General features: G+C 53.8%; 1 pseudogene, besides 1 other annotated feature; it reads right to left on the bottom strand.

Annotated features, from left to right (window-relative positions):
* Positions 1–594: 594 nt before the first annotated feature.
* LOC112268183 (basic proline-rich protein-like) lies at positions 595–19045 on the bottom strand (annotated as a pseudogene).
* Positions 849–918: a silencer, noted in NCBI's record as "silent region_8605". NCBI's record gives its function as "represses an Ori minimal core promoter by ATAC-STARR-seq in GM12878 lymphoblastoid cells {active_cell/tissue: GM12878}" and the evidence as "EXISTENCE:reporter gene assay evidence [ECO:0000049][PMID:35858748]".
* Positions 19046–19245: the final 200 nt, after the last annotated feature.

Genomic DNA, 19245 nt, shown 5'->3' on the forward strand with positions numbered 1-19245 from the left:
AATGACATCCCAGCCTCTCCTCTCCCGAGAGCTACCCCCCGCCGGCTCACACTCTCCCTGTTGACCCTTCACCATGGGCAAAATGATTCCCTGGCCTTCCCTACCCAAGGTTGAGGTCGCTCACCTCATCCAGGGCTGGGAGTAGAAGGACACAGGGACATCCAACGAGGGGGCTGTGAAAGAGGACCCTCCAAGCACTAATGGCTGAGGCCAGGTTGGAGTGACCCCACCACCACCAAGGAGGGAGCTAAAAAATTTTCAATAAGTAGCATTTATTCAGGGTTTACTCTGTGCTAGGCCCTGTGTTGAATGTTTTACATACATGATCACCCTTGATCTTCACATCAGTCCAAAGAAGTAAAATCCAAGATTATTTTAATTTTACAGATGGAGAACTGAGGCTCTGGGAAGTTAAGAGATTTGCTTAAAGTCACACAACTAATAAGTGGGAGAGCCGGGACTCAAACTCGTAGCCTGGCTCCAGGCTCTTCCAACCTCAGCGCGATAGAGTCTCTAGGTACCGTTTACTGCCCAAAGCCCAGGGGTAGGGGGCTCAGGGCAGCCAGACCTCCCTAGGCTCAGGAAGAGTAGTCTTCAGCGCTCGGCTGTCAGGCAATCCGGTCCCCGGTTCCCCACGGCGGTCTCCTCGGTGTGCCCCACCAAGAGCGACAGGGCTGGTGACCCGAGGGGCGCGTGCGCGGTCGTCAGCCTGGGATTTGCACGGACCCCCTTCTCCCTAGTACGCTCGCTCGGGGGCCCCTCCTCTGCTACGCCGCTGGGGCTCGCCCGCCACCCACAGCCCTCGCAGAGCCCTCCGGGCACACCGCGGCTGGCCGCCCGGGGCCAAGGATGGGGCGGGAGCGCCCACCCACCCCCGCGCCGGCCGGGGCATCCAAGAGGCGCGCTCGCAGCCACACGGCGCCCCGCCTCCCGCTCCGAAAAAGCTCCTGCTCCCCTGGCGCGGTGTGGCGTCTCCGTCAGCCCAGCCGGATTCTCCCCGCTTCGCTGGAGTGGAAAATAACGGCTTCAAACTTTGCAGAGAGGAGCTGGTGCCAGCACTTTAATTAACAGCCATCTTGGCCTGTGAGCTGGGGCCACCGGCTTGGCGCCTCCCCTGGGCTCGCCAAGCCCCGCCCTGGCTCCGCCCAGGCCCCCAAAGAAGCACCCCTTAACCACCTACCCGACCCTCCACCCCCATCCCCTGCTCTCAGCGCCCCTCTTTCCGGGAGATGAGGGCTTGGCTGATTGGGGAGAGAGTGCTGCCTTGAGGGGCATCTCCCAGCTTAACACCTGAAGACAGTCACAACCCCCCCATCCGCCATACTGCCCCCCAACATTGTTTAAAGCTGGACTGTTGAAGATTCTGAAATTAAAGACCTGAGTGCCAGCCGGGCGCGGTGGCTCACGTCTGTAATCCCAGCACTCTGGGAGGTTGAGGCCCGAGGATCGCTTGAGCTCAGGAGTTCCGAACAAGCCTGGGCAGCATAGGGAGATCCTGGCGTTGTGGCTTTTACCTGTAGTCCCAGCTACTCAGGAGGCTGAGGCGGGAGGATCGCTTGAGCCTGGGAGGTCGAGGCTGCAATAAGCTGAGATTGCGCCACTGCACTCCAGCCTGGGCGACAGAGCAAGACCCTGTCTCATTAAGAACAAAAACTAAAACGGCTTGCGTGCCAATCCTACCCGGTGATTTTAGGTAAATAGCCTACCCAGCAGCCCCTGGCATCCTTTGGTAAAAGGGTGGTTGTGAGGATTAAATGATGTATTACGTATGTAAAGTCCTGGGCTCAGTATCTGACCCTTATTATACACCTCGTAAATGGTAGCTAATATAACTATTTCACCTCAAGGCCAAGAAAGCCCTCTCAGGAGACCCCCGGGCCTTGGGTCTACTTGGTCCTGCCAGCTTCCTACCCATTGCTGTCCTTGACACTAGGAGAGGGGGACAATGGACCTAGGCTCCCAGGTTCAGAGATGGAACTGGATGAGTGAGGGAAGAACCCTGAAGTTCCGGCTTCCAGGCCTCTTCTTCAACCACCTGCTAAGAACAAGGACTCAGGTTTTCTTTTTTTTCTTTCTTTCTTTTTTTTTTTTTTGAGACTGAGTTTCGCCCTTGTTGCCCAGGCTGGAGTGCAACCGTGCGATCTCGGCTCACCCCAACTCCGCCTCCCAGGTTCCAGCCATTCTTCTGCCTCAGCCTCCCGAAGAGCTGAGATTACAGGCACGTGCCACCATGCCCAGCTAATTTTTGTATTTTTAGTACAGACATGGTTTCACCATGTTGGCCAGGCTGGTCTCAAACTCCTGAGCTCAGGTGATCTGCCTGCCTGGGCTTCCTGCTGGGATTACAGGCTTGAGCCAGCTTGCCCAGCCGGGGCCAGGACTCAGGTTTTCAGAAGCGAAAAGGGAGGGAGGGTTTCAAGGTAAGGAGGGCGGCTGCACTCTCTGTAGCTGGGATGCTGTCAGTGGGGGGCTGAAGGTCTAACTTTGCTTCCCGAACTTCTATGAGTGTGAGGGGTCACTCCCACAGCCCCCATCTGGAATGACCCTACCATAGGAACTCCTACAGTGAGGGGGTGGTGCCGACAGCCCCAGTCATTCCAGGCATTGAGGTAGATTGTGGAAGGTACAGGGAAGAGCGTAGGTAAGGCTTTTTACCCAGGCATGACTGGCACTGACTTTAGGAACTGAGTGACTGTTCTGTGGTATTTTGGGGTTCTTTGAATGAATGTGAGTGGGTGTGAATGTGTAAGAGGCTGTTGATGTTGCTGTGTGTCTGGGTTTGGGAGTGAGGAAGGGGGGTGCTGTGCCCTGACTCATCAGCTGCTGGATCTGCATTGAGTTGTTTTTACATTTACTGAAAACAGCTAGCTAGGTCCTGCCTGGGTGAAAACACCTAGCTAGGTGGTGATGGTGTGTCCCAAGATGAGTAGGACCGGAAGGCTGAGCGGTGCCCCTGAGGAGTTCACTGTTTGGTGGGGGACACGTGCAGAAAGATAGGATACTTTGCCACAATAATTACCATAGCTAACAGTTTTTGAGCACTTACAAAGTGCAAGATCCTGTTCTTTTTTTTTTTCTTAGATGGATTCTCTCTCTGTCGCCCAGGCTGGAGTGCCGTGGTGCGATCTCGGCTGACCGCAAGCTCTGCCTCCTGGGTTCACGCCATTCTCCTGCCTCGGCCTCCGGAGTAGCTGGGACTACAGGTGCCTGCCACTATGCCTGGCTAAGTTTTTTGTATTTTTAGTGGAAACAGGGTTTCACTATGTTAGCCAGGATGGTCTCGATCTCCTGACCTTGTGATCCACCCCCAATAGGCCTCCCAAAGTGCTAGGATTACAGGCATGAGCCACCGCGCCTGGCCAAGATCCTGTTCTTAAGCACTTTTATGGATTATCTCATTTACACTTAACCTATTATCATGGATTTAAAACTATTACATGGCTTATGTCACGTACTAGTATTAACCTCATGAGGTAGGTACTATCATTTTCCCCATTTTATGGCTGAGGAATCTAAGGCTTGGGTAGAAATTTGTAGGAGGTGTTACGAAGTCCAAATGACGCATAGATGAAGAATGTCCTGCCCAGGCTGGACACAGTGGCTCACTCCTACAATCCTAGCACTTTGGGATGCCAAAAGGCGGGAGGATGGCTTGAGTCCAGGAGTTTGAGACCAGCCTGGGCAACATAGTGAGAACCCTATCTCTACAAAAAATAAAAAATTAGTCGGGCCTGTAGTCTCTGCGACTTGGGAGGCTGAGGTGGGAGGATCGCTTGAGTTCAGGAGATTGAGACTGCAGTGAGCCATGTTTGTGCCACTGTACTTCAGCCTGGGCAACAGAGCGAGACCCTGTCTCAAAAATAAAAAATTAAAAATAATCCCCTGCTGGGTGCAGTGGCTCACGCCTATAGTCCCAGCACTTTGGGAGGCTGAGGAGGGTGGATCACTTGAGGCCAGGAGTTCGAGACCAGCCTGGCCAACATGATGAAACCCCATCTCTGCTAAAAATACAAAAATTAGCTGGGTGTGGTGACATGCACCTGTAGTCCCAGCTACTTGGGAGGCTGAGGCAGGAGAATCACTTGAACCCAGGAGGCGGAGGTTGCAGTGAGCTGACATCGTGCCACTGCACTTCAGCCTGGGTGATAGAGCGAGACTCCATTTCAATAATAATAATAATAATAATGCCCTGCCCAGAGGAGTCCAAGAAGACTTTACAGAGGAGGTGTCATTTTTTTCCATTTATCCATCCATCCATTCATCCATCCTCCATCCATTCTATAAACCATATTAGCTGACTGCCCACCACATCTCTTGTTATCACGGGACACAAAGATGAGCAAAAAAGACTTCTGTTTGGCTGGTAAGGTTGGGGAGAAAAAGAGAAAAGGCTCCTGACCTCATGTAGTTTACCATGTATTGCTGAAACCTGGACAATTAAACAAGCAACTGCTATCTAGCCTGACAAGGTCACTTAGAATGTGGAGTACTTTGGGCACACTCGGCAGTGTCACTTAAATTCATCTGGGGGCAGGGAATAATAGGAAACTTTCTAAAGGAGATGATATTTAAGGTAAGCCCTGAAAGGAGTCATCAAGGTGAAGAATATGGCCACTGGAGGTGGAGGAGGGAGAGAAAGAAAAGGATTATGGGTAGAGAGAACAGCATGTGCTAAGGACCATGCTTGCAGAGCCTCGTGGGCTGTGACAAGGAGTTTATAATTTGTCCTAAGGGTAATTAGAGATTACTGGAGGGCCTGGGCATGGTGGTTCATGCCTATAATCACCAGCGCTTTGGGAGGCCGTGATGGGTGGATCACCTGAGGTCAGGAGTTCGAGACTAGCCTGGCCAACATGGTGAAACCCCGTCTCTACTAAAAATAAAAAAAAATTAACCGGGTGTGGTGGTGGGCGCCTATAATCCTAGCTACTTGGGAGGCTGAGGCAGGAGAATCGCTTGAACTCAGGAGGCGGAGGTTGGATTGAGCCAAGATGGCACCACTGCACTCCAGCCTGGACAACAGAGCGAGACTGTCTCCACAAAAAAAAAAAAAAAAAAAAAAAAAAAATTACTGGAGGGTGTTAAGTGAATGAATAATATAATCAGATTTTTCAGATTAGAATGAGCACTCTGGCTACTGTGAGGACAAAGGATTAAAATAGAGTAAGAGTGCTGGTAGGGAGACTTAGTACCAGGCAGTTGCAGTGGTTCAGGTGACAGCTAATGATGGCCTGACTTGGGAAGGTAGGAGGTGGAATTGGCTGACTTATTGACAGATTAGTTGGGGATGGGGATGGAGTAGGGGGCAGGAGACTTCCAGGCTTCTGGAAGGATCTTGAGATGTTTATTGAATGAAGGATGGATGGATGCTATTGCTGTTGCCTGGGTACTGATATGTGCCAGGTGCTTCACATACTCTATTTCATTTACCCCTCACCAAAAGTCTAAGGAATATGCATGATCTCCATATTGGAGATAAGGATGCTGAGACTTAGAGAGGTTCAGTGACTGGCCCAGGATCATACAGCTGGTAAGAGGGAGAGCAGGATTGGAACTCAGGTCTGTTTGACCCCAGGTGGGGGCTCTTTACACTCCCACTCTACCTAGCCCAGCAGGCACACACCTGGTGGGGAAGACAAGGAAAGGTACTTTAGGGTCAAGACCCAGGAGTATAAAAGGCGTATTTTTGTTTTCTGGTTGAAGCCACCAGTCTACAGCCCTGGCTTGGGCAGGATGAGGAGCTGGGCACCAGGAGGCAGAGACCATCTCTCAAGGCCCAGTGAGGATACCAGTTTGCCATGTGTGTTTGGGGATGTCTCATCACGCCCATCCATTTCTTTCTCTGGGCTGGGTAATTTTCTGGCTCTGAGAGGCTGTATTTCTTACATTAAAGACAGCCCAACACTGGCATCCATTTATATATTTTTTTAGATGGAGTCTTGCTCTGTCGCCAGGCTGGAGCACAGTGGCACAATCTTGGCTCACTGCAACCTCTGCCTCCTGGGTTCAAGCGATTCCCCTGCCTCAGTCTCCCAAGTAGCTGGGACTACAGGTGCGGGCCACCATGCCTGGCTAATTTTTTGTATTTTAGTAAAGATGGGGTTTCACCATGTTGGCCAGGATGGTCTCGGTCTCCTGACCTTGTGATCCACCCGCCTTGGCCTCCCAAAGTGCTGGGATTACAGGCATGAGCCACCATGCCCAGCCCATTTTAAACCCCAAGATGACTTTTGAATTCAGACATTTCCAGATCCTTCTTGTGAAAACCCTCCATAATTTCAGCATCCTTTTGGAGAGGGGGACTTTGGCCAGAAAGTATGGGAGAATGGAAGTTGAGTTGCAATTTGGGGTGGGGGTTAGGGTATGCCTCAGTGGGCTGAACTAGGCTGGGTCTCAGAACTCCTGAGTCCGGATCAGGCCTCAGAGGTTGATGAGGGGAGTTTGTTCAGGGGCCTCTCTTCCCAGCTCCATCTTCTGAGGAGGAAAGAGTGGGATTCAGCTGGCAGAGCCCAAGTACCCAGGTCACAGGCAGATTTTCTTATGCCTCTCTCACCAGAGAACCCTGAGCCTTGTGTCTGGGGTTCCAGGGACCTGCCCGGTCCTGGGGGTCCTCCCTACCCATTCTGATCGGCAGCTGCCTGCTGCCCATTCCAAATTCAGTTCCAGGGACACAGCTCCGAAAAGGCCCCACGGGAGGGAGGGAGAGACCTAAGGGGAGGGGCTATCTCCCCTCAGCCCAGCCTGCGGCTCCCAGCTGCATGTATAAGTGATGAGGCTCCACAGCCCCAACAGGAACCAATATAATGGCAGGTGCGCCGGGTCAGCTGGAGAGACAGATAGCAGGACGCGGGAGTGACAGGCGGTGCAATTATGCTGAGCCTCCTGCAAAGGCGGCAGAGAAGGCCCCGCCTGGCCAGCATGGCCCGCAGCCTCCCCACTCCCTCCCACAGGCCTTCCAGCCCCACCAGCCCCCAGCCCCACTCCAAGGTAAGATGCGGGGAGGCAGAGGATCCAGGGCTAGTTGGGAGCAGCTGGTCTTCCTGATTTCTGGGTCTGAGGAGGGGGGTATCAGGGAGAAAGCCTCCTACTCCCCAGAAAGCTTCCTCTTTGGAAGCCCTGTCCCTTCTAGGGAAAATGTCCCTTCTTCTTCCCACCTCAGGAGATCATAGGACTTAAGGTCTGGAGAGGTCTTAGAGACCCCACCTTTGACAGACAGGGAAACTGAGGGCCTGAGAGGGAAATAGCTTGCCTAAGGTCATAGAGCCAATCTGAGGCGGAGCCAAACGGGAATCCCAGGGGCTCTTTCCAGGATGGATGAGAGACCCCAGGGTGAGGGGAGGAGGGCCAATTGCTGGCCTCTGTGCTTCGGGGAGCAGGGGGGTTCCTCACAGAGCCTCTGAGGGTGGACATGGAGGGTGAGGCTCAGGGAGGTCTTACAGCTGGGTGTGTGGTTGGAACTATGGCTGCAGCAGTATCCTTGCAGGGCACCAATCAGCCAGGGTTGGGGGTGGCCCAGCCCCCTTCCATGTTCAGAGAGGGGTCTTTGAGTACCTCATCTCCATACATTTGAGGACAGGGTCAGAGAGGGGGTCTCTGGTGTGGCAGAGCCAGAAGAGCTGAGCAGTGGGTGCTTAGTAAATGTTCATCAAACTGAACTCCTACACAGGGCCGGCTTCATAGATGTGCCACCTGTTGGTGGCAAGGGCCCCGCACACAAAAGGGACCTGAACTTGGTTTAATGCTCTGCTATCACCACCTTGAGATTCTTAATGATTTTTGAACAACAGACTCACATTTTCAGTTCCCACCGGGTCCCACAAGTTATGTAGCTGGTCCTGCCCCTGAAACAGAGATGTGGTTTGTTCTTTGGAAGGGCTCCCCTGCCTCATCCCTGCCCCAACCTCATCCCAAGATGCCCCAAGCAGAGGAGGACACAGAGCTAGGAAAAGCTGATGTTTGCTGAGCTTCTTGGAGGTCTCCCCGAGTCAGGGCTGACCAAGCATGTGTCAGGGCAGGAGAACTTGGCTGCTCTGTCCTGGCAGCCTTGCTCCCATGCACAGGCCTGCACCTTGCCTGTCTGTCCATCTGTATACCCCTATCCCTGACCCTGGCCAGGGCGGGGATGGAGGGCTGCTGGGCCACAGAGCTCCTGGTCCCAGGGGGGATTCCCTGTTGTTTGGGGAGACTTGGCCCCTCTGCTCACTCCTACCCCTGCCCCCACTAGGACGGGAGGGGTTGGTGGAGGGGGTGGGAGGCTTAATTAGCAGCCGAAGCCAGGCAGCAGGCAGGAGAGGTGGAGGGGGGCGCAGATCGGGCTGACTTTTCCCACTATAGATCTGCTCTCTGGGAGAGGCACTAGCTGGCTGGCTTAGGCTCTGGCTTGGCTATTTTAGGAATATTCTTAACCCTTTCCATGCCACTGCCATCATCAGACTTCTCTTCCAGAGCACAGAACATCAGGCTGTCCTCTCTCCCTGTTCCCTCCTCCCCAGTCCCTGCTGTTCCTCCCTGGCAGCTGAGAAGGTCAGAGTTTTCTCAGTGGTGGGGCCAGTTGACTTTTGCCAAGGAAAACTCGCAGCCCCTGAGCCCCCTTCTTTGTTCCACCCTGAGCCTTCTCCCTCTCCACTTCCTCACAGCTCTGGACTCAGAAAAGTGGCAGACTGAGCATGGCCTCAGCTCTTCTTCTCATTTTATAAAATTGGGAGGGTTAGACTCCCCCACCCAGGGGAAAACAGCTGACCTGGATCCCAAGAGTAAGATAGGAAGCGTAGTCCTGGCTTCCAGCCTCTGGCAGAGCAGCAGCCCCTGCCTGCCTGACTTTGACGCCCACTAGGGGCGAGTTTCCAGGGGGTGTCCCACACAGCAGCCAGAGCCCCTCAGTGTCATGAGATTCCCTTTGCCTGATTTATCTCCCACTCTAGGTCCTTCCCAGGGTCTCACTTCTTGGGAAAACCTAGGCTAGGATATAGGCACCGCCTGGGCAATGCGAAGGGGAGTCCCACTGGGGACCAGGAGGGCTCAACATTGATAAATCTGAAATTCCAGCCAAGATGGGAAAGAGATCTCGGCTCTCACTGTCAGGAGTTCCTGCATCCGAGATGGGCTAGACTGAGCTGGGAGGCCCAGGACATCTGGGCGCTGTGGTGCCATCCCTCAGGCACATGACTTCTGGGACTAGAAGTTGGAGTTTGCCACAAAGTGCTATTGGGAAAGCTTGCTTTGGAAATCGAGGCATATGGCTGATGATGCCACATAAATGCCCAAGGGCTTGGGGTGTGCCTGGCACTGTGCTGGGCACTGGGGATAGAGGATTGATAATCAAGAATCATTCTCTGCCTGAGAAAGGAAGCTCTCAGGGGCTGGTTCTCCAGGTGTCTGACCACCAGCCTGGGCCAAGTATTGACGGGCTCGGGGGAGTGAGTCCTCCCTACAGGTGCCACGTAACTCTCCCTCCTCCAGATTGTCACAACCAGCCCAGCTCCAGAAGTGACAGGGCTGGCTGGGGGTAGGGGTGAGGCCAGAAAAAATGCTTTAGTTCCTATCGGGGGCTACAGAAGGGGCTCTTGTGATGGGGGTCACTGAGCTGCAGGTCTTCCAGCTTCCAATCTAGAAAGAGCCTGATGGATTGATCGTGGGTCCAGGGAAAGATTTTGAGTTCAAAGACGTAATACCCTCCAGGGACTCCAGGAGAATTTTCTGTGTCATGTAAAAAGTAAGAAGAGGCTGAGTGTGGTGGCTCGGCCCTGTAATCCCAGTCCTTTGGGAGGCAGAGGCAGGAGGATTGCTTGAAGCCAGGAGTTGAGATCACAGGCTGGGCAACATGGCAAGACCTTGTCTCTACAGAAAAAAAAAAAAAACAAAAACACAAGAAGATCCCTCTCTTTGCCCCTAATTGAGAGACATGACTAGAAGGCAGGAGGTTGGCTGTCGAGTGGGGAGTGCTTATCAGGTAGGGGTGGGGCAGGTTTCCCATGTTATCTTGGAAGGTATTTCTGGCTCTACAGTTCCTGATGAAGACATACTCGAGCACTTTAGGCCAACCATTGGTAAAACTAGGAGCAGAACTCAGGAGTCCTGGATGCCTGCCTCTCCAGTCTCCAGTGCAGTCCCACCTCTCCTCCCCGCTGCTCCTCGATTGCTAGCTCCCTCCCTGCCAGTTTCCAGGCTGGGAGCCCCAGCTGGCGGAGGATGTCTTGCTCCTCAGCAGCTGGGATTTGTAAATATTTATAGGAACATGGAACAGATCAGTGGCTGACAGGCCCAGGGAGCGGGCAGGGCCCTGCCCGGAGCTCAGCAGCTTCACTCCCCCTTCCCACACCCTGGCCTGATTTGAGGGAGCCCAGGATGACAAAGAGGGGGTGATCAAGGAGGGTATGGGGCCGGCAGCCTCTATATCCAGGAACACGAGCTTGAAGGATGCGTTTGTCCATCTGCCCTGGGCTCCGCTTTCACACCCAGTCACTCACATCCTTCCACCCTCACCACAGCTCACCTGCGTGCTCATGTGGCCAAGGCCACACTGACCCCCACCCTCACTCTTTCAACACTTCACTGTCACACTCACACATGTACACACATGCTTTCCAACTCCCACGTCCACGTTGATACTCACTCTCATAGGCTCACACTTTTGCACACTCACCACCTCATGCTCACAGACCCACTGGGGGCCCAGATCCCAGCCACTCCCCATAGGTCTTAACACAGGTCCTGGGAGGGCAAGTCCTGTTTCCTATCTGAGGTGGGGTATGAGTGCGTGTGTGTGTGTGTGTGTGTGTGTGTGTGTGTGTGTGTATGTGTGTGTATGCATGCTTGTAGGGAGCAGGAGGGAACAGGTCCTGAAGTCAGGAAGTGAGGAAGAGGGAGGAGAGAGGGAGAGAGGCATGGACCAAGGGCCATTCAGAGCTGATAGAAGCCTGGTGTGGAAGCAAGGCAGAGACAAAGGCAAGGCAAAGAAATAGAGACTGACAAGGGTCAAGCCAGAGGGGGAAGGGGGTGGGGACCGAGGCCCCCCCACCCAGATGAGAAGCTGTCACATTGCTGCTCCGGTGGCCATGAGACCAGCACCACCCCCAGCTGGAGCCTTTCCCCTCTGGATCTTGTCACTGTGGCTTTGCTGCTTGGGCAGCCGGGAGTGGTGACAAGCAGGGAAGACAGTCCCCAGGGCAGCTGGCCATGCCACTCCAGCCTGGCTGCCAGCTCACCCATCACTGCCCATCTCATCACCCACAGGGGCCCAGATGAAACCAGGAATCGGCCTGGCTGCCCTTGCCTCCCAGTGTCACAGTAGAGAGCAGGGGAGCCACTGGCCCCCTCCCCAAAACGTGGGCAGTGTTAACCACACCTTGCCCAGGTCCCTGGACCTTGAAGCTGGACTTGGGGAGAATGGGCCAACTCTCTGCTCCCAGGCACCCAGGACCTGCTAGACAGGGAAGGAACTGGTGAATGAGACAGGGTGCTTGAGGAGGGGGTTGGGGAATGAAGCCACTATGAGGAACCCAGTGTGTTTTGGGCATAAACTTTTTATTTCGTCGCTTTACCATGCACAAGAATGATGACCCCACATGCCCCTGGTGCTGTGTTAAATAATCGTCCTTCTCGCCTCGGGTCTGTCTCACGGTATTAGTTCTGGGGCATCAATCAGCCAGTTTGTGCTCTGCAATCTGAGAACAATCATTTCTATAAAATCAGTAAGGCAAAAAAGGAATCATAATACAAAGGAGGGAAAGTTGCACTGACTGCTGTTTTCCTGTTTTTTTAATCAGCAGTGCAGCTTTCCGTCCAGGTTTTGATGTCCTGATTGATTCATGCTTTCACGGGTTCATTCATGTATTTACTCAACAACCATTGCTCATCCGAGTGCCAGGTCCTGAGCTGCGTCCTGGGAGCCAGTGAGAAAGCCAGACAAGGTTCTTGCTTACATAGTGTTTAGAGTTGATCAAAACCAAACAAACGCACAACAAAATGTGATTCCCCCAAGGGGCCAGAGAGCAGTGTCAGAGTGCCCAGCCTGGGGACCCAGACATTGGGCTCTTCCAGTGGAACACTTGGAAATCACCCAGAATTCTTCTCTCGTCCCAGGATCAACATCTTCCCATCCCTCTCCTGCCTTGGCAGTTTCGCTTTTCCTAACAATCAGGCCATCTGGTAATGGGGGGATGTACGAATGTGAAACTGAATCTCAGCTTGGACACTCGCTGGCCAGGTGACCTTAGGCAAATTGCTTCATCTCTGAGTCACAGTTTATTTACTTTTCTGTGAAACGCAGTAAGTAATACCCATCACCAGGGTACCATTGACTTTTTAAGTATATACGTCACCAAAGAAGGTGCCTGGTACACAGTAGGGCCTCGACCAGTGCTAGTACCTTTCCCTGCCCCTTTGCCAGTGATATATGCTGCATCTCTCCTCACAGGCAAGGAAAGGAAGCTTAGGGGGTATGGGGAGTGCAGGAGGACCCAGCATTCCATGTGCCATTAATCTATGTTTTATGCTGTCTTCCCAGGCATCTGATTCTGTTCTGCTCTATGGGAAGCCTCTTATTTAAGGGGAAGAGGGTGAAGAGGCCTGGCTTTGCCACCTGAACCACCTGAATACTCCAGAGAAACAGCCCCTTTCTTCACTGTTTCTTCTTTCTCTGGCTTTCAAGTTTATAAAAGCATATTGTGGGTCTGGTGGTTATGGAATGGTGGTGGTAACAGTGGTGTGATGGAAGTGGTGGTGGTGGTAATGATATTGGTGGTGGTGATGGAGGAGGTGGTGGTGGTAATGATATTGGTGGTGGTGATGGAGAAGGTGGTGGTGGTGGTAGTGATGGAGGTGCTATTGGTAATGATGGTATTGGTGGTGATGATGCAGGTGACGGTGGAGGTAGATAATAGAGGTGGTAATTGTGGTGGTGGTGGTAGAGATGGTGGTAGCGATGGAGGTGATGGAGGTAGTAGAGCTGGTGGTAGTGATGGAGGTGATGGAGGTGGCTGTGGTGGTGGTGGTGATAGTGATGGAGGTGATGTTGGTAATGATGGTATTGGTGGTGATGATGGAGGTGATGGTGGAGGTAGATAATGGAGGTGGTAATTGTGATGGTGGTGGCGATGGAGGTGGTAGTGGTGGTGATGATAATGATGGTAGCCATGGAGGTGATGGTGGTGGTAGAGATGGTGGAGGTGGTGATGGTGTTGGGAGTTTATCTCAAAATCCCATGCTCAGATTTTAAGAGCTAGAAGAGGGCTCCATTTCAGTGAATCTCTGAGGGCCAGCTATATGCCAGGCCCATGGTGCTCACCTCCTTTTCACAGCAATGCCCTGAGTTTACTATCTCCTTTTGCAGATAAGGACACTGAGACCAAATATCAAATGACCTGGTCAGAGGCATGGAGAAGTTTTTTTCTGTTTTTTTGTTTGTTTGTTTGTTTGTTTTTTGTTTTGTTTCTGTTTTTGTTTTTGTTTTGAGAGAGAGAGTCTTACTCTGTCACCCAGGCTGGAATGCAATGGAACGATCTCAGCTCAGCTCACTGCAACCTCCACCTTCTGGGTTCAAGTGATTCTCCTGCCTCAGTCTCCAGAGTAGCTTGGATTACAGGTGCCTGCCACCATGCCTGGCTAATTTTTGTATTTTTAGTAGAGACGAGGTTTCACCATGTTGGCCAGGGTGGTCCCGAACTCCTGACTTCAAGTGATCCACCCGCCTCGGCCTCCCAAAGTGCTGGGATTACAGACGTGAGCCACCTCGCCTGGCCTATGGAGATGTATTTAAAACCTGGGTCCTTTAACTTCTAGTCCATTTTTCTTCTCTATGCCATCATGATGCCACCCACATTTCACGGTAGGGGAAATGGAGATCCAGAGAGGTCAGGTAATTTGCCTAAGGTCATGCAGCAGTTAGAAGCAGAGCCTGGCCATTTCATCTGCACTCCTAGGTCTCAGCAGCCTTCTCATCACCAATGGCTGGGGGTCTCACTGAGAAGGTTAGAAGGACGACCAGCGCATTGCAGAGGCTCACAGCCATGACAGAGGCCCAGAGCCAGACCTCCTCAGGTTCCTGGGGCAGGCTCTCGATCTGCTGTCCTTCTGCCCCTGCACACTGTCAACTCCAATCTCCCCTCCAGCCTCAGAGTGAGAGTGACAGACAGGCCAGCCCTGGCCAGCCCATTAAACCTGACACCTCCTCTCCCAGATTTGGCTGTGGGCCTCCCTTAGCCTGAGCACCATGCTGCGGCAGCTCTGACTGGCACTGAGGTGGGGTGGCGGGGCTGGCATTCCTCTACTATCTCCTCCCCATCTGAGCTCTGAGGTGGTGAGCTTGGGGATCCAGTCATCTTGCTCTCCTTTTCCTTTACCAGTCTCAGACCTTAGTTTCCTGCCAAAAAAAAAAAAAAAAAAAAAAAAAAGAGTAGCTCTACCTTAACCCACTAGCAGTTAGTGAAAAAGGGAAGAGAGAGTAAGAATTGTGCCCAGGCTCTGTATCGTCCACAGGCCCCCTCCCCCAAGAAACCTTCTGGGACTCATCCCACCCCGTTCCACTCCCTCTGAACCCTCTGCACCATTTCTCCTATCTCAAAGCTATGTGTCTGGCTCTAATCTGAGTCATGATGATGATGGTGGTGGTGGTGGTGGTGGTGGTATTGGCAGTGGCAATGGAGGTGGTGGTATCGGTTGTGGCGATGGAGGTGGTGGTATCGGCTGTGGCGGCGGTGGTGGTGGTATCGGCTGTGGCGGCGGTGGTGGTGGTATCGGCTGTGGCGGCGGTGGTGGTGGTATCGGCTGTGGCGGCGGTGGTGGTGGTATCGGCTGTGGCGGCGGTGGTGGTGGTATCGGCTGTGGCGGCGGTGGTGGTGGTATCGGCTGTGGCGGCGGTGGTGGTGGTATCGGCTGTGGCGGCGGTGGTGGTGGTATCGGTTGTGGCGGCGGAGGTGGTGGTATCGGTTGTGGCGGCGGTGGTGGTGGTATCGGTTGTGGCGGCGGAGGTGGTGGTATCGGTTGTGGCGGCGGAGGTGGTGGTATCGGTTGTGGCGGCGGTGGTGGTGGTATCGGTTGTGGCGGCGGAGGTGGTGGTATCGGTTGTGGCGGCGGAGGTGGTGGTATCGGTTGTGGCGGCGGAGGTGGTGGTATCGGTTGTGGCGGCGGTGGTGGTGGTATCGGTTGTGCCGGCGGTGGTGGTGGTATCGGTTGTGCCGGCGGTGGTGGTGGTATCGGTTGTGGCGGCGGTGGTGGTGGTATCGGTTGTGGCGGCGGAGGTGGTGGTATCGGTTGTGCCGGCGGTGGTGGTGGTATCGGTTGTGGCGGCGGAGGTGGTGGTATCGGTTGTGGCGGCGGAGGTGGTGGTATCGGTTGTGGCGGCGGAGGTGGTGGTATCGGTTGTGGCGGCGGAGGTGGTGGTATTGGTTGTGGCGGCGGAGGTGGTGGTATTGGTTGTGGCGGCGGTGGTGGTGGTATTGGTTGTGGCGGTGGTGGTGGTGGAGGTGGTGGTATTGGTTGTGGCGGTGGTGGTGGTGGTATTGGTTGTGGTGGTGGAGGTGGTGGTATTGGTTGTGGCGGTGGTGGTGGTGGTATTGGTTGTGGTGGTGGAGGTGGTGGTATTGGTTGTGGTGGTGGTGGTAATGGCTGTGGCAATGGAGGTGGTGGTATTGGTTGTGGCAATGGAGGTGGTGGTATTGGTTGTGGTGATGGAGGTGGTGGTATTGGTTGTGGTGATGGTGGTGGTGGTATTGGTTGTGGTGATGGAGGTGGTGGTATTGGTTGTGGTGATGGTGGTGGTGGTGGTAGTGGTGATAGTAGTAATGGTAGAGGTGGTAGTGGTACTGATACAGAAGGAAAGTGCTGGGAAGGGAAGAGCATGGTCCCTTTAAATGATATGGAGGCGGGTAAGGAAAGTGCTGGGTAGAGGAGGGCGTGGTTCCTGACTAGGGCTCCACCCCCATGGATCTAGGTGAGGATAGGCATTCCTGTCCAAATGTTGCATTTCCCAAGACCACCCTGGCCTGCCATGCCCCATCCTCTGCCTATAAAATCCCCGAAATTCTAGCAGGCACCCACAAATGGCTGGACATCAAGAGGAGCATGTCAGAGGAGGAGCACGCGGGCTGCTGGATGTCGAGAGGAATGTACCGATAGTCCCTGGCATGATGGCAGGCCATCGACCATCGACCAGCTGAACTAGCAGAGTTTGGCTGAGGCAGAGTTTGGCTGGGAAGTCAGAGGAGAGTGGCCCAACTGCAGGGGAAAACCATCCCCCTTCTGGCTCCCCCATCTGCTGAGGGCTACTTCCACTCAATAAAACCTTGCACTCATTCTCCAAACCCATGCATGATCTGATTCTTCTGGTACACCAAGGCAAGAACCCCAGGACACAGAAAGCCCTCTGTCCTTGTGACAAGGTAGAGGATCTAATTGAGCTGGTTAACACAAGTCGTCTATAGACGGCAAAACTAAAAGAGCACATGGTAACACATGCCCACTAGGGCTTCAGGAACTGTAAGCATTCAACCCTAGACACTGCCATGGGGTCTAAGCCCATCTGTATGTTCCCCTAGAGGTTTGAGTAGTGGTGCGGGGCACTGCCAATCCCCCTGTGGCTACCTGTGAGGGAGACAAGGGAACTTTTCTCGTTTCAGTACTCTGGGATGGTCAGAGTTGGATAGGAACTCCTGGATGGAGGGGAGGTTGACTGGTTACTACCTTCCTCTATGTCTCCCCACCAACTCGTTTTTTTTTTTTTTTTTTTTTTTTTTTTTAGAGACAGGGTCTCGCTCTGTCACCCAGGCTGGAGTGCAGTGGCATGATGATAGCTCACTGTAGCCTTGAACTCTTGGGCTCAGGTGATCAATCCACCTCAACATCCCAAGTAGCTAGGACTGTAGGCACACACCACCATGCCTAGCTAATGTTTTAAGTTTTTGTAGAGATGGGGTCTTGCTGGTTACTCAGGCTGGTATCAAACTCCTGGGCTCAAGCGATCTTCCCACTTCAGCCTCCCAAATTGCTGGGATTACAGGTGTGAGTTACCATGCCTGTCTCCTGCCCTCAACTCTTTAATAAGATATTTATTGAGCATCACCCATAAAATAGGTACATGCTAAGCACCTTCCATGTAATAAATCATTTAATCCTTCCAACAATCAAGAGGTAGGTACTAATATTTTAGAGATGAGATAGCAGAATCACGGAGAGGTTGAATAATGTGCCCAAGGTCATACAGCTCACAAAATAGCAGAGCCTTGGCCAGGCATCGTGGTTCACACCTGTAATCCCAGCACTTTGGGAGGCTGAGGTGGGAAGATTGCTTGAGCCCAGGAGTTTGAGATCAGCCTGGGCAACATAGCAAGAACACATCTCTATTTTAAAAAATTAAAAATTGGCCGGGCACGGTGGCTCAGCCTGTAATCCCAGCACTTTGGGAGGCTGAGATGGGTGGATCACGAGGTCCTGGCCAACATGGTGAAACCCCGTGTCTACTAAAAATACAAAAATTAACTAGGTGTGGTGGCACGCGCCTATAATCCCAGCTACTCGGGAGGCTAAGGCAGGAGAATCGCTTGAATCTGGGAGGCAGAGATTGCAGTGAGCCAAGATCGCGCCGCTGCACTCCAGCCTGGTGACAGAGCAAGACTCCGTCTCAAAAAAAAAAAAAAAAAAAAATTAGGAGAGCCTAGACTCAGCCACAGCCCCACATCAGAGTCTCAGCTCCAACCCTGCTCTCTCTTCCTGTCTCCTGAGCAGAGCTCTCTCCATGGGGCAGAGCTGGTGGGTAAGTTGAGCTGGAGACTTCTAGGGGCTCCACTGTCTTGGGGTTTCCAGGGCTAGGCAGAGCCATTCTATCTTCCTGCCTCCACCCAGGCCTCCATCCCTTAGGAGCTCTGACAGGGGAGGTGGGATGGTGGATTGAGGGGGATGTTAGGCTCCTAGTGGCGCTGGTAGCAGTGGGGCGGGGCTCTGTCTGGCCCGGTGGGGCAGCTCACTCCACCTCCTGGCTGGGGCTCCCGCCCTTGGGAGTTCCATCCTGCCGGCCTCTCTCCCTCCCAGGATCTCATTATATCCCTAAGAGAAACTGACAGCCTTAATATCTTACTTTGCAAATATAGTTTATTCCTTCAATAAAGCCGCCAGCGCAGGGGAATGTTTAAGACTCGCTCTCCCCCGAGAGCCTCATTTGAATTTCTAAAGTCTTCAGTCGGCTTCTCCAATGGGGCAGCTGGGTGAGGAAAACGCAGCAGCCGCTTAGAGGGGATTCATTTCCTGTCTGGGTCTCCGCCGCCGCCGCCGTAGATGGGGGAGCTGAACTGACGGAAAGGACTGCTGGCTGCCTGGATGCTGGGGGGCAGAGGACAGGGAGGCCTTGGCCTGCGTCTGTCCTCTGGTTGGGGCGGGAGGGGGTGCATGCCTGGCTCATGCTCACGTGGGTGAATCTGTGCATTCACTCGGGGGCCTCCAGCCTCCATCCTTGTAGCCCAGGTTCTTCCTCGAGGGCCCAGCTCAGGGGCCCCTCCAAGGGACCTCTCAGCCCGGGAGCTACTCTATGGGATCCCCCTGCCTAGGGACCCCTCCGCTGGGTCTCTACGCCCAGGGGCCCCCAAACAGTATCTCTCAGAGGCCCAGGCCACCGATCCCTGGGGATGGGGCCTCCTCCCTGGCTGGACCCCCTCACTCCAGGGCAGCCCCCATCCCAGGCCCCCGTGGGAGTCTCTAATTAAAGGGCCGGCACGCCCCTTGGGGACTCATTAGGCCCACTGTGCAGAGAACATTTAATCATTGCTCAGAGCATCGATTGGAAAATCAATTTCTTTGTCTCTCCGCACGCGGCGCTGGAGAAGTGGGGGGAGCGCTGACCTCCTTCTGCTGCCATGTAAAGTGCTGCACATTTAATCAGGGAACAGAAATCAATTAGCCACTTACGAGGCTGGCTTTAGTTACCGAGTCGGCAGGGCCTGCGCTGCAGTTTGACGCTGACAGAAGCGAATCTCAGCGCGCTGGGCTGGTCAGCGCCGGCCCGTCCCCACAGCTGTCCAGGGCCCTCGGCTTCTCTTTCCCACGCACTAGCACCTGCCATCTAGAAAGGCCCCCTAGACCCGCCCCACAGAACCCCTGGGAAGGCTCCCAACCCCCCAGCCTCCCTCACTAACCTCCTTTCCTGTGCTCAGTTCTGCCAACCCTGAGAAGCCACCTGGAGACTCAGATGCAAATCTCAGCTGTGCTGCAGAACGCGGAGACGGGTGCCTGTAGTCCCAGCACTTTAGGAGGCCAAGCCTG

This window comes from Homo sapiens, chromosome 17 (assembly GCF_000001405.40).
Source record: "Homo sapiens chromosome 17, GRCh38.p14 Primary Assembly".
Classification (NCBI taxonomy): domain Eukaryota; kingdom Metazoa; phylum Chordata; class Mammalia; order Primates; family Hominidae; genus Homo; species Homo sapiens.